The sequence below is a fragment of the Homo sapiens genome, chromosome 11, assembly GCF_000001405.40.
Source record: "Homo sapiens chromosome 11, GRCh38.p14 Primary Assembly".
Taxonomy (NCBI): Eukaryota; Metazoa; Chordata; class Mammalia; order Primates; family Hominidae; genus Homo; species Homo sapiens.
The window spans coordinates 108,851,685-108,866,297 of record NC_000011.10 but is presented as its reverse complement, the minus strand read 5'-3'; the positions used below and the strand labels follow the sequence as shown (position 1 = coordinate 108,866,297).

General features: G+C 38.3%; 1 protein-coding gene across 1 annotated transcript in view; it reads right to left on the bottom strand.

The window, feature by feature from the left end:
* Positions 1–14,613, bottom strand: part of DDX10 (DEAD-box helicase 10) — a 275,859-nt gene that overhangs the window by 74,630 nt on the left and 186,616 nt on the right. Inside the window, exon 16 of the mRNA NM_004398.4 lies at positions 14,089–14,145. Within this exon, the coding sequence (NP_004389.2) occupies positions 14,089–14,145 (57 nt within the window). The remainder of the gene's footprint in view (positions 1–14,088; positions 14,146–14,613) is intronic.

The window sequence follows — 14,613 nt, the reverse complement described above, 5'->3', positions numbered from 1 at the left end:
TCCAAGTCCTCCTTTAAATTCCCTTTTCATACTTCCCTGAAAAATATACCAGTTTTCCTAGCTGCTTTTCATCTGCCTGTTCCTTAACTGTTGCTGTTCCCCAGGATTTGTGACCTGGCTCTTTCTCTCATTCACTCTCCAGAGTCCAACTACCAAAATGGAATTCTGAATCCACTACACACAAGCAGGTATGCAACCTTCTATACTAAAATTTCTTCTTCTGTTAAATGGGAATAACATTATTACCTACAACTTCAAGAGCTGAAGTTTGTACACTTAAAATACATTACTTAAACTCCCCATGGAATTAGCACTTAGAATACTACCCGACACATGGAAAATACCAAATAGACATTTTATTATTTTTTTTCTTTGGATTCAATCATTACATATGTAGACAACTCCCAAAACTTCTCTATCATGGTATTAATTATATTGCACTACTTACAAATTTCCTCCACTAGACTGTGGGTTCCTTAGAGCAGGTTAATTCTATCATGGCATTATGAGGGGTAACACATAGTAGGGCACTCAAGAAATATGCGTAGAGTAAACAAATGAATCCTTCTAGGATCATCCTACCACTTATGCTTCATTCCCCCTCAAAATCTCGCTGCATCCCCCACACTCTCCTGAGTCAGCCCAAATCTTCAACTTGGTATTCGAGATCCTCTATGATTCACCAATTTCTCCAGCTCCTGTTATTCTTCTTGTGTGCCAGTAAAAAAAACCTGATAAGACCCTCCCAAATCTGACGCCTTCCAAAAGCCCCAAGGAGGCCAGTCAAATCCTTTCTACCGAAATGGTTAGTCTCCTGCTGTATTTCAACCACTGGCAAACATACTATACAGAATAAGTGACACACCTCAAAAATATTACATGGGAAGGTTAGAAAGCATATAAAAATGACAGATAATAGTTCATCGGCTCCTGAAAAACAGAAATCAGAATTGTAGAGCTAAAAGAGGCCCCACAGGATATATAGTCCTGGACACTTCAAGCAGCATAGTTAAGATATTTGCTCAAGGCCACACAGTGATCTACTGCTATCACCAGGATGAGAAATCAGGGTCCCAGGCTGTCGGACCCTCTAAGTCAGCAATGGTTCCACCTAACACACCAGGGCCACTCTCTCCCAGTGTGATCACTCGAAGCACTCTCTCCTTCCTCCAACACTGAGCTGAACACACAACAGGATTTACAGGTATACCCGTCAAGGAGAAACCAAATCCTGCTGCTCCTTGTGTTTTACAAGGCTCTTGGCAACATACCTCTCATATTCTGATGCCCTTATATCCCAGCATTGGTTTTAGATGGTGTTGAAAAGGGGTCAGGCTAAGAACAACAGGTGACAGACTGACTGCAATCAGGCACACTGAAAGACAACTAGAGTTTGGGCATGCTGAGTTTGTAACTAATTTAAGAGACTGGGCTTACATTTACCCTCATATCTTCTAGTATACATTCTGCCATGGGGGTGTAGCCAAACCAAAAGTGGAAAAGGCCTAGCACCTCAGGGTTGTAAGAAGTATAAAAGTTGCCAGGCACGGTGGCTCACACCTGTAATCCCAGTACTTTGGAAGGCTGAGGTGAGAGGATCACGTGAGTCCAGGAGTTCGAGACCAGCCTGGGCAACACAGGAAGACCTCATCTCTACAAAAAAATAAACAAAATTATCCAGGTGTGGTTCCAGCTACTCAGGAGGCTGAGGCAGGAGAATCGCTTGAGGACTGGGAAGTCAAGGCTGCAGTGAGCCAAGATCACGCCACTGTACTCCAGCCTGGGCAACAGAGTAAGACCCTGTCACCAAAAAAGTATAGAAGTTTATTCTACATATTCTATACATATAAAGTTTATTCTATCTATTCTATATATATAAAGTTTATTCTATATATGGATATAGACCACTGGTTCTTAATGGGGCAGTAGTAGTATCATAATTATACATATATACTGCATGAACACATGTAAGTAAGTCCCCTACCCCAATGATTCTGATGGGAGAAGGGTAAGGATGGAGGAAGCTAGATATGGGCATTTTGAGACATCTTTCAGTGATTTCCAGCCGCGATTGAACCACTGGTTAAATCCTAAGTATCTGAGAACGAACCTGCCTAAAAAGGCAACGTATACTAATGCTAATTAATCATGGCTCACATTTTTTAATGTGATTCATAGTTCACAAAGCCCTAACACATGTATTATCTTCACAAGAACCCTGGAAGGTTGGCAATGCAGGCAACACCACTACTGTTATTCTAAAGAGGAAACTGAGGCTCGGAGGAAACATGACTGCCTTGGATTCCAAAGCTTACTGGCAAGAACTGAATTTGGACCTCGTATTTTTCAAATCTAATGCTCTTTTAGGAGAGCTCTAACAACCTGGCAGTAAATGATAAAGGCTGAATGAACTGAAGCCCAAAATCTGATCTAGCATTACTGATGAACTCACAATATGGACTTACAGACCCATCCACTCTCATTTTTCTCTTTTGCTTAGAGAGGACAATATTTTTTTTCTTCTCTCACTTTCTGTTCTCCTCAAAGTACCAACCACAAAAACATCATGTACTAGCTCTACTGAGTGGGGCAAAAATCTTAGGGTTGGATGGATGCCAGGAGGCTGGGATCAATAGCAGTTGTGTTTAGAATTCAGACATGCACAACTCATGTTAAAAGCAATTAAATGAGGCTGAAGCCTTCCGATAATATACTTTCCAAAGAAAGCTGTGCTAATATAAATAAATGGATGAGCTTGAGAATATATATCATTTCCAACTGAAGGAAATGAGATAATTTTATGAAATAAAAATCAAATGTATCTGTAGTAAGGGGGAAAACTAATGTACATAGCTGAAAATCAAGATAGGTAAAATAAAACAACTGCACTTAATTCTAACAGTAATCATCTCATAATCCAAAGAAGATAAATGATAGAATTCTTGATAAAAGAACTTTTAGATCACGTATATACCATTTCTGCAGCATTTTCCAAGTTTAACATTTTATCTGGAATCATAAAAGATTTATTTCCTCAAGTAAAGATAAAAATGAGGCTACATTAACAAAAAGTGCCTACTTCCCCCTTAATAAGATCGTAAACTCTTAGTACTGGACCAGACACAGTCCAGGTACGTTACAGAGGCTAAGTACCTTTAGACTGTAGATGGTGAAAGGAAATAAATAAATATTTAATTCACATAAGATGCGCATGGAAAAATAAATAAATAACCAGAATCTATGGTAAGAATGAGGTAAGTCAAATGAATATGCCTCCTCATGGGAAGATAGTCACTTCTTTATTAGATGATCTTTCAAGCTTTGTATGTTTCTGAATTTCTATGGTCAGTTACTATTCATCTATTTCAATTTATAAAGTTACAGTAGTCACATATAATGATCACTCAGACCAATGTCCCTTTCATCACCCTTGTGTTCCTTTATTCTAAATAAATGCCAATTCAATAGCTCTTAGTGTCCTATCAGATAGCATGAAGAGTAGAGATCTCCACAACATTCCAAGGCCACCAAACCACCTCATAAGTTTATAGTAGAAACTAAAACTCACTGGGGTGGGGAGGAGGTTAAATGTCTCTGAACAGCAGAATGACGACTACGCTCCTCCTTATTTAAAAAATACAATTTCTTCATTTTAATTTACACCAGAGTCAAAATAAAGCTCATTTTCTCATTTAGAGGAAATTGTTTTGTAAGTTTTAGGAGGTAAAACATCACACTTCTTGGAACAAGGGGATTTTAAAAGAAATGTGTATTTGAATAACATAAATTATTAATTGTCTTTCATAGCTTTCATAAAATATGAATGACTCCAGGGACTAAGGCTCCTAATGCTTCTAGAATTACAAGAGTTATCCATAATATCTTTTATTTCTGAATCTACAGATTAAAATATCTAGGCTGAAAGCATATAAAGAGATCTCGTCTACCCGCATCATTTTTTAAAAGTAATCTTTGGCCAGGCTCATTGTCTCATGCCTGTAATCCCAGCACATTGGGAGGCTGAGGCGGGAGGATCACTTGGTGCCAGAAGTTCATGACCAGCCTAGTCAACATAGAGAGATCCTGTTTCTATCAAAAATAAAAATAGAAAATTAGCCAGATTTGGTGGTACATTCTCGTAGTCCTCGCTACTCAGGAGGCTAAGGCGGGAGGACTGCTTGAGCTCAGGCGGTCAAGGTTACAGTGAGCTATGATAGTGCCACTACACCACAACCTGGGCAACAGAGTGAGACCTTGTTGATTAGATTGATGAAAGGGAGAGAGAGAGAGATTTTTTGGCTGGAGTGCGGTGGTGCAATCTTTGCTCACTGCAACCTCCGCCTCCCGAGTTCAAGCAATTCTCCTGCCTCAGCCTTCCCAAGTAGCTGGGACTACAGGCATGCACCGCAATGCCCAGCTAATTTCTTTTGTATTTTTTAGTAGAGACAGGGTTTAACCATGTTGCCCAGGCTGGTCTCAAACTCCTGAGCTTTAATTGAAGTATGGCATACCTCCAAAAAACTGCACAAACCATAGGCTTATAGCTTGATGAGTTTTCACAAAGTAAATACACCCCATGTAACTACCACCCAGTTTAAGAAATTAGAACACTCTCAAGTTCTCCAGGAGCCCCCTTCACACTCCTTCCCAGTAATGACTCCCTTTTTTCCTCAAAGGTAAACTCTAACCGAAAATATTAGTTTTGCTTTTACAAAAAAACCTTTATGTAAATAGAGTATCATAGTATTTACTCTTCTGTCTGGCATCTTTTGCTCAATATCATGTTTTCAAAATTTGCCCATTATTGGATGTAGCAGTAATTCCTTCATATATAACATTTCATCATATGACTATGCCACAATTTATCTACCCTACAATTCAGGTTATTTCTAGTCTCTGACAGTGATACTTAGTGCTGCTGTGAGAAACACACTCACCCGTCCAAACGCCAAGAATGGACTTAGAGGTGCAAAGAACAGCAAATGTGAGACTTTAATAATGGTCTTGCAAGATCAGGTGTCTGGTAGGCAGGCACGTCCAGGGCAGTCACAACAGGTAATTTATCTGGGCAGGAAGCATCCAGCAAGGGAGAGAGATGTAGCCTGGGAGGCTAGGCCAGTCTCTCCTTTACACATTTTTCTGCCTGCTTTATATTCGCTGGCAGCTGATTAGATTGCGCCTACTAGATTAAGGGTGAATTTGCCTTCCCTAGCCCACTGACTCAAATGTTAATCTCTCTTGGTAACACCCTCACAGACACACCCAGGATCAATACTTTGTATCCTTCAATCCAATCAAGTTGACACTCAGTAGTATCAACTAGCACAGTAGGAAACTTACGTCTGTTCTTTTTCTGTGTTCCATCTCTGTTATTTCCTTTTCCCACTGGCTTTTTTTCTCCTTTAAGATATGGAGGAAATGGAGCCTTCCCTTCCTTTTAAGAAATAGTGGCGGCCGGGCACAGTGGCTGATGCCTGCAATCCCAGTACTTTGATAGGCCAAGGTGGGCAGATCACTTGAGGTCAGGAGTTTAAGACCACCCTGGCCAACATTGCAAAACTCTGTCTCTACTAAAAATAGAAAAATTAGCTGGGCAAGGTGGCGTGTGCCTGTAGTCCCAGCTACTTGGGAGGGTAAGGCACAAGAATCACTTCAGTCTGGGAGGCGGAGGTTGCAGTAAGCTGAGGTCGCACCACTGCACTCCAGCCTGGGTGATGAAGTGAGACTGTCTCACAAAAAAAAGAAAAAAGAAAAAAAAAATAGTGGCTTCCTCCTCCCCATCTTCCTCCTCTTTTCTTCCTCCCTACGACTGACTGTCTTCAATTTTGACTAAGTGTTAGGAGTATGGCTGTTTCTGCTTACATACCATATGGCAGTGTTCTCAATCTTTTTCAGTATAGGAAGACGTTTAACATCAAACTATTTACAAGATGATAATTCTACAGTGGTATATGTCATTTAAGAAAATACAAGACAAAAAAGTACTCTGAATTTAGCAAAACAAATAAGTTCATATTTTGTTAATCTTAATATAGCCTTTACATACTTTTAAGCTATGATAATATATATGTATGGTATAGATAACTTATTCACTGTATAGTCAATGCTGAGAATTTTAGAATTTCCTAGTAATAACATGGAAAACCCACACAGATTCTTGTACCATAGGCTGAGAATTACTAAAATCAAGTCTTATAATAGTTCTCTAGCCCTGCCTCTTTTTCTTCACATAAGCAACAGGATTCTGAGTTATGAAACAAAACAAGAAGAAGAAGAAAGGAGGAAAGAATCTACATGTTTTTTTCAACTTAGAGACTTTTGTATACTATATCAGAAATTATGATGGTATAATCTTACAACAGCCAGTAATGACTACTAACAGTCAAAAGAATAACCATCATTTAGACCATTAATGAATGCTAATACATACAAAAATATAGGCAAATGATCCTAAGTATCAGTCTCCACAATCACGATGGTCACATCCACACATACCCACAGGCACAGTTCTCTACAAAGTAGAGCATGTAACCACTGGAATAACACAGACTCAGCCACATAATGAAACTGACCACAATGATTCAAATACAGTTAATTTGTTCTGCTAGATGTGCCTATAAATCCCTAACTCAAGCATATAAATGTCAAATTATCTCTAACTTCACCTAAGCTGAATCAACCATGATGAAGTATAAAGGGCATCACCTGGATTTATTTACTGTTTAGGCTGTTTCATTGGAAAGGATCTAAATGACCACCCAACTGAACAGACTATCAGACCACTTAATAATACAACTATTTTCTACAACATAAACAAAGGGATATGTACACACACAGCCCTTTTTTTTTACACCTTACTCAAATTTATTAGGAATCTGTTTTCCTCAAGTTTTATCTGGTTAGTACATTTTGCAAGTTTAATAAAAGAAACAGTATTCTGACTCTAACACCAAACATTAATTCTCTAAGAAGTATTAGAATAAACACATTCTGACATAGTCATTAAAATTCTGCCTTAAATTAATCTGGTCTAATACTCCAAGTGTAAAAGGTTTGACTTGTTTCCTGAAAAATTTCCTCTTATTCTCAGAGTTAATGGCTGCCCTGAACAGGTTTAAGATCATCCTTAACACCCACTGCAGAGTCATCAGTGGTCAGAGTCAAGGAGTGCAATCCGACCTGGATCTGAGTGCTAGCTCTCCTACAATCTAACCACATTTGAATAAGGTCACAATTATTCAGGCTACTCACGTTCAATGGCATCAAATGCAACATTCACCATGATACTGCCAATGAAGACATTTTAGCAGGATCCACTTTTTTGGTCAATCAACAAATATTTATGAGCAAGGAACTGCATCACAGAATGAAGTCACAACTTCCATGGGCATTCAGTTCCAAAGCTGACAGGCAAGGTGAAAATCAACATATCAAATTACCCTAGAGTATCCCTTTTACCACCCATACAGTACCATACACTCAAGTTTTCCATATGCAACTTGAGGAGCTCGAAGTTAGATAAAAAGAAGGAAGAAAGGCAAAATCAATATGCACATCTTAGGACAACTCATCCTTTAAGAATTTATTAAATTCTTCGCAAATAAGGCATGCGTGAAGGATTCTAATGGGATTCTGATTGCCTACAGAGTTTACTACATTGTTTTAATATTAAGAATCTATCATCTTAATACAAATTCACGGATTTGTTTAACACAAGATGGGGTAGAAGGGAAGTAGGAACTTGGAAAGGGCTGAGTGTGTTAGATACATCCAGTCTGGCAGAATGGAAATTCACTGTATTCTGCAGGCCCCGGTGCTAGACCTCAAGGATCTTATAACTGACATAGCATTAACATGTAAAGTGTTAACTTTAAGAATGAATATAGTTGCATTTCACTGATTCAAATATCTACAGAGCATTTATTATGTGCCATCCATGAAAAAAACTCAGCTGCTGCTCTCAAGGAGTTTATAGTCTAGTGATGAGAGACAATCACCAAGTAACACGGCAGAATAATGTACACGAAGTCCGGTGGTCCAGAAAGGAAGAACGTCATGAGTCGGCCTGAAGGAGGCAGAAAAGGCTTCAAAACGGAAACAGTTCAGAGGAAAAAGCAATGAAGGAGAAGATATCCTAGGCAGAGGGAAAACATGTATAAAATTTAAAAATCAAGAAGATATGAGAATATGGTATGTTTAACAGGTCTTCCTGGGCTGGAAATAATGGTAAATGTTTCCTAATTTTTCATTTGTAAGAAAAAATTAAGCTGCTGGGATTCCAGTGAGATTTTATAGTAACTAATAGGAGATGCACAATATTCTGTATCCGCCTATGGTTCTGTTCTGCTTCTTAATATTCTGTTTCTCAATGCAGCCACCTATAAAAGAGAACTAATTGTGGATAAGGAAAGCAATTTCAGGAGAAGAAATATTTACTTGCAACTTCTGCTTCAGTTTTTAAGACTCTCAAATTGAATATTCTTGACTACCTCGGAAATGACCTATGGCCTAATGCTTAAGAGTCAACGCTTCAGCGTCATATAAAGCAGATTTGCATCCTGGCTCTGCCATTTCCTAGCTGTATGTTATTGGGAAAGTTACTTCAACTTCCTAAGCTTCAATTTCCTTGTCTACAAAATAAGAAATCATAATATGAGTGACCTCAGCACTGTTTGCGAGGAGATGGCCAACTGTGAGCCAGAAAGCCTGCCCTCAGCCAACAAAGCACTGTGATGAGAGATAGGCACACAAAGGAAAACAAGAGCCAGAGCCAAAGAGAGAGAGAAGTGCAACCACATCAGCACTGTAATTATTGGCGGTGCTCTAGACAGGGGACCACGGGAGTAGTTCCAAAAGCAGGAGCCCATAATATGTGAGAGAGTCAGAAAAATCTTCATGAAAGGGGTAACCTTTTACACATGCTGAGAACAGGCCCAGAAAGATAAATGGCTTGTCCCCAGCCACCCAGAAACTTTAAGACATAGCCTGCCTTCTAGATCTCAGCCCAGAGTTCTTTCCTTACTAAAGGTATTTGCTATTAGTAATTTTCCATGACTAGTCGTTAGATCATGTATCATGGATGCGATTTGTTTTTACATAGAAAAAGAAAAAAAAGCAACATACAGAAAGGGCATAGGACAATAAACAATAACAGGGAATGAAGATTCAGGAAACCTGGGGGCATATACCAGTTCTGCCACCAAAGAAGCTATGACATTAGGCAAGTCATTCACTTGCTTTCAGCCCTAACTTATTTGGGTACTTTAAAAGTATTAGCTATGTAGCTATGTATGTATACATTTAAGGAAAACAATATTTCAAATAAAATATTCCCTGGAAGTTCAAAATGTAAAGAGGAAAATAAAGTTGAGCTGGTCTGGATGAGGACTAAATGGAACCCTAGAGCCTTGCCCAAATAATATTCTCACGCGGGGGTGGTGGGGGGTGGAGAGGAGAGTCCATAGGTCACTCAATATAATACTGAAAACCATTGGAGTAGATCAGTGGCTGCCACACTCGCTCTTCAATTTCATGGATCAGAAAAAGCTCAAAAAAGATTTTAAAGTGGTGAAATGGGTTTTTACTTTGTCAAATAATAAGACTTTTTAAAAAATTATCAGTATTATTTCATAAATGAAAGGATATTTTAGCACCAAAAAAGTAGGAAGAACAAAATATCAAATGAATAAAGTTAGCTTTGCTTTATGAAACTACTGTTGAGTCAGAGAAAAAGTCATTGAAGACCAGTAGATTAAAAAGTCAGTCCAGGGCATCTCTCAAGTCCATTAGTTTTTTAAGGTTTTTTTTTTGTTTTGTTTTTTGTTTTTTGTTTTTTTTGGTGGTTTTTTTTGTTTGTTTGTTTTGTTTGAGACAGAGTCTCGCTCTGTCACCCAGGCTGGACTGCAGTGGCGTAATCTCGGCTCACTGCAGCCTCCACCTCCCAGGTTAAAGTGATTCTTCTGCCTCACCCTCCCGAGTATGCTGGGATTATAGACGGGTACCACCATGCCTGGCTAATTTCTGTATTTTTAGTAGAGACAGGGTTTTGCCATGTTGGCCAGGCTGGTCTTGAACCCCTCACCGCAGGTGATCCACCCATCTCGGCCTCCCAAAGTGCTGGGATTACACGCATGAGCCACCATGCCCGGCCTAGAGTTTTAAAATTAATTAACTACTACTTCTTCAGACCTCCTATTCTGAGAGCTCTAACTTCAACACTACTTTTCTGTTGTACAGAGATTACCTTAGGTATTCAAGAAACTATTACCTAAAACCACTATTTGTTAAGTATAAATAAAAACACAGTACAAACCAAAAAATAAAAACAAGTGAAAATGTACATCTATAAAACTTCAACCTCAAAATGTATGACATATTTTCCCCACACCTTAAAAATACGAACTATAATCATCATTTTTAATATAGTCAAAGCAACTTTTAACTATTTTAAGTGTTTGAGCTCTTTCCTACTCTTTGTTCCTTCATAGTCAGTGTTCAATTTCATCAGCCTCAGACTTTTGTTTAATAAATCATACTTTTGGCCAGTTGCAGTGGCTCACATCCATAATCCCAGCACTTTGGGAGGCCGAGGAGGGTGGATCACGGGGTCAGGAGATCAAGACCATCCTGGCTAATGCAGTGAAACTCTGTCTCTACTAAAAATACAAAAAATTAGCTGGGCGTGGTGGCACATGCGTGTAGTCCCAGCTACTCGGGAGGCTGAGGCAGGAGAATCGCTTGAACCTGGGAGGCGGAGGTTGCAGTGGGCCAAGATCGCGTCACTGCACTCCAGCCTCGGTGACAGAGCGAGACTCCATCTTAAAAAATAAATAAATAAATAAAAATCACACTTTCTTTTCAAAAGCAGCACAGTAGTGAGATATTGCTGAGGATCTATTTCCTCAAGTTTCAGCACTGTTGTTCCTTTTCCTTACATTTATACAAAATCATTCCAGCGACCAGGGATTCCTACTAGCACTTGTGACCCTCAAAGCAAAAGGAAATTTAGCTAGATAATGAGGTAAAGCTGTATTCCAGGATTATGTAACCTACCTGAACTCAAAAAGCAATGTGGTCTATTGATCATTGCTACAAGTATTTTTCTAGATCTTAGTTTAAAATCTGTAGGTCATAAGAATATACGACATCTTGTTAGCTAAAGTAAAAACAATTCTATTGTGCAATTCAAGTACTTCTCTGCTAAAGAAAGTTTTGATACCCAAAAGACCTATATTTCCCAAACCACTATTAGGTACCCAGCAAACCTTCGTAACAGTTTCAGCTTCGTATTTATCTTCCATTCCCAATTCTGCACATAATATAACTAGGCAGAACTTAGATCTATCTTTTAACAAAAAGTCATATCAGATTCCTGAGAGGTCCATTCCAACTTTAGTTTATCCTACTCACACTTTAAAGCAATTTTTCTTAGAAGTACTTTCAATATGCCAGAGAAGATTCATTTCTAAAATTGAAAATTCACATTATCATTAAGTTTTCTCTTTTCTGGGAAATAAAGATAATTCCATGAAACTTCATTCAAGCACTTTCCCCAAAATTAAAAAAAAAATACTGTGTCCTTTATATCCTTCCTTGTATAATAAAATGATGTTTGCTGCATGAAACACAAAACAAGGTAGAAAGACAGCTACGTGAGTCCTCCCTTTCTTACACTTTCAGTTTCTATGCAGTGATTGCTTAAAATAGCTATAAACAGCTATGACTACATTTCCTGGTAAATTAAGTCTGCAAGTACCACCTTCTTTGACCATTAAAATATCTTCTGGATAGCTTGTAGGTTCAGGGATCAAAGGGAAGCTCTACCTGGAATCTGACTAAAGTGATTCAGAAGGCAATATCCTAAGTAACACAATGATTAGGTTTACATAAGAGGATCAACGAGAAGACAAAGTTTACTCAAAAACTAAGTCACATCTGTCATTTAAAGCACATGCACTGAGAGAAACCTGATAATTTACATAATATTTCTCCTTACATATCACAGAAATTTGTGCCATCACCCCTTTACCAAGTGTTTCCAAATAATCTCTTCTGGGTCTGCTTCCAAAAGGTACCTCAAAAGCCATGAGAGCCTTCAACCCCTGTCACTTTCATTTGAAAGGAAGTTGGGTGCAAAAGGTTGGTTTGAGCTCATTCCTTGGGCTCTGTCAGTCAGCCTGAACCTGTCACTGCAGGCAGTCCTCAGTGTCTTGAGGAATGTTTGAGTCCTGGCTGCAGACCAGCCACTGATCCCTCTGGTAATATCACTCTTACAAAAGGGCTACCATCTCTGAGCACTCAGAAAAGGGCTGTGAAATGGAGGTAGCTAAACTATTCAGAGCAATAATAAAACACAGCCTCTGTCTATTTAAAGCTCCTGGCTGAGCTGCAAAGCCATGTCAGCTCTTCTTTCTGTTCTTAGTCCGATGCTTAGTGGTTACATAGAAATGAGACCTTCCCTTGACAAGAAAAATCTTCCTCCTTTTTTAGATGTCAGGAAACAAACACACAGGACAAACACAGAAGGGGAGTGGGAAATGGAAGGAAGAGTTTGGCATAAGGAGTTCACTTCAGAGATCAACCCCCAGTGAAAATGCCTGATTGTGACAACTTTATCATTTTTTCATTTCCCCAGCAGACACAGTATTAAAACCAAATATACACACCAATTTATGGGGGAATAAAAGAAGAGGTTTCCAGGAGGATAGCTCAAGGGTGATAGCAACTTCTTACAGCTTAAACCATTATGAAAAAAAAAAATCGAGCATACACCATCAATAAGTATAAAAAATAAACCATATTTAGTAATATATATACAAATATGCATGAATAAACACAAAGGAAATACAGTAACAGGGCTTTCTTTGGCTCTAGATTATATCTTTCATTTTACATTTATATATGCAGAAATGAGAGCTTCTTAGTGAAATAAAATGGGCTTATTTTATGCTGAACATGCAATATTCATAAATATCAAATGCTTTTATTAGATTTAAGATTTTCTTGTTAAATTTAAATCTTTCCCACTACAGCCTCTGAGATCTAGTGGTGGTTCTGCCATGGTGTTTCACGCCTGCACGTTAAAGCATATGCAGAAGCCTCCACCTTATTTAGCAGTCAGGCTGCACACACTGGAGCTCTCGTTTTTGGGCACCTTTGAAGACAGAGTGATATTTAATACTGCTTATATTTAATATAAGCAGTCTTTTCTGCTTATATTCAGTATTAAATAATTGCTTCCCACTTCAGAACTATAGCATGAGTTATCATCTCTGACTTGCTCTCTTAAGTGCTATGGCCAGCATGGAAAAAAAATGACGAAGAATATTATAGGCTTCCTCAAGGGAGTTGGAGCTTTGCTAACTGCCAAGAAGAAATCATGGCTAGTCAGAAACAGCACAATGAGATACAGCATGAGAAATGACATATGTTATTGGGCCCTAGTTCTAGGAAATCATTTCTACTAAATGTTCTCAGAATGCAGAAGCTGAACACTTCTCAGTGACAAACACATTAGATAAAAATCATGGCTGCACATGGACAGTGTTTATAATTGTACATACATACTTGAGGAAAACTGTACATATGTATTTGCTGAAAAGTATCTGTTACAGAATATAGTAAAAGTGGGAGATACAGAATGCTTTTCTCCTAGATTCTAAGAGCTGAACTGATGCTTTCAGAGTTACCTGTTATGAGGTTGGGTTCACACAGGCTGTCTACCTGAAGATGATACAGATGAAAATCCTATCAGGCCTGGCCCACAGAGTCAACTGCCTTTTGTATTTAATAGATGCAAAATATATGGAAAAAAGTGGTGGAGTAAATGGGGCCAAGCCCAGTAACAAATTATCTTAGGGATTTTTCGTCCTGCACCAGAGGAATACAAGAAAGTGAATAGAAGGCCACATGGGCTTGAATCCAATTGGAATATCATGATATACAAATAATATATAAAATCCATGTTGAAAAGAAGAGGATTTAAATTCCATTTTAACATTATAAGCATTGTTCTTGCCAAAATATAAAATGCTTTTGTCCATTCTACCTTAATAGAGCTTGGAAAAATAAATGTATATAAACCCTTACCTTTGCTTGTCTCTTGTTGGCTTCTCTTCTGGCTTCCCTTTCTTTCAGTCTTTTCTCCTGGAGACAAGGAAGAGGAGAAAAATTAGCAGCATATAATTAGGTATAAAACAGACTACACATTCATTACAGTTTTATTTCCTAAAGCTAACTAATATATGACATTCATTTTTCAACAAATATTTACTGACTACTACTATGGGATTGGCACAAGTATTCATGAATCATTAAGAATGTGTCAGACAGATCTGGAATCAAATCCCAGTTCTATATCACTTACTCTGGCTATGCAATGGTTAGTACTGACTTTCAAATAAAACACACACTAACAGGACAGGTAAAACATAATGTACAATTATACAAGAGACACATTCTAGAGATTACTTGGAATTTCTAGAAACAAGTTCAATGGAAGGAAATGGAAAGGAGAAAAAAGAAAAACTCAGAAAGCTTTTGGCTTGCTTATTATCAAAGAGCTTCTTTAGAAAATGACTGATCTCAAACCCGGGTCTTCATGTGCCAAATCTA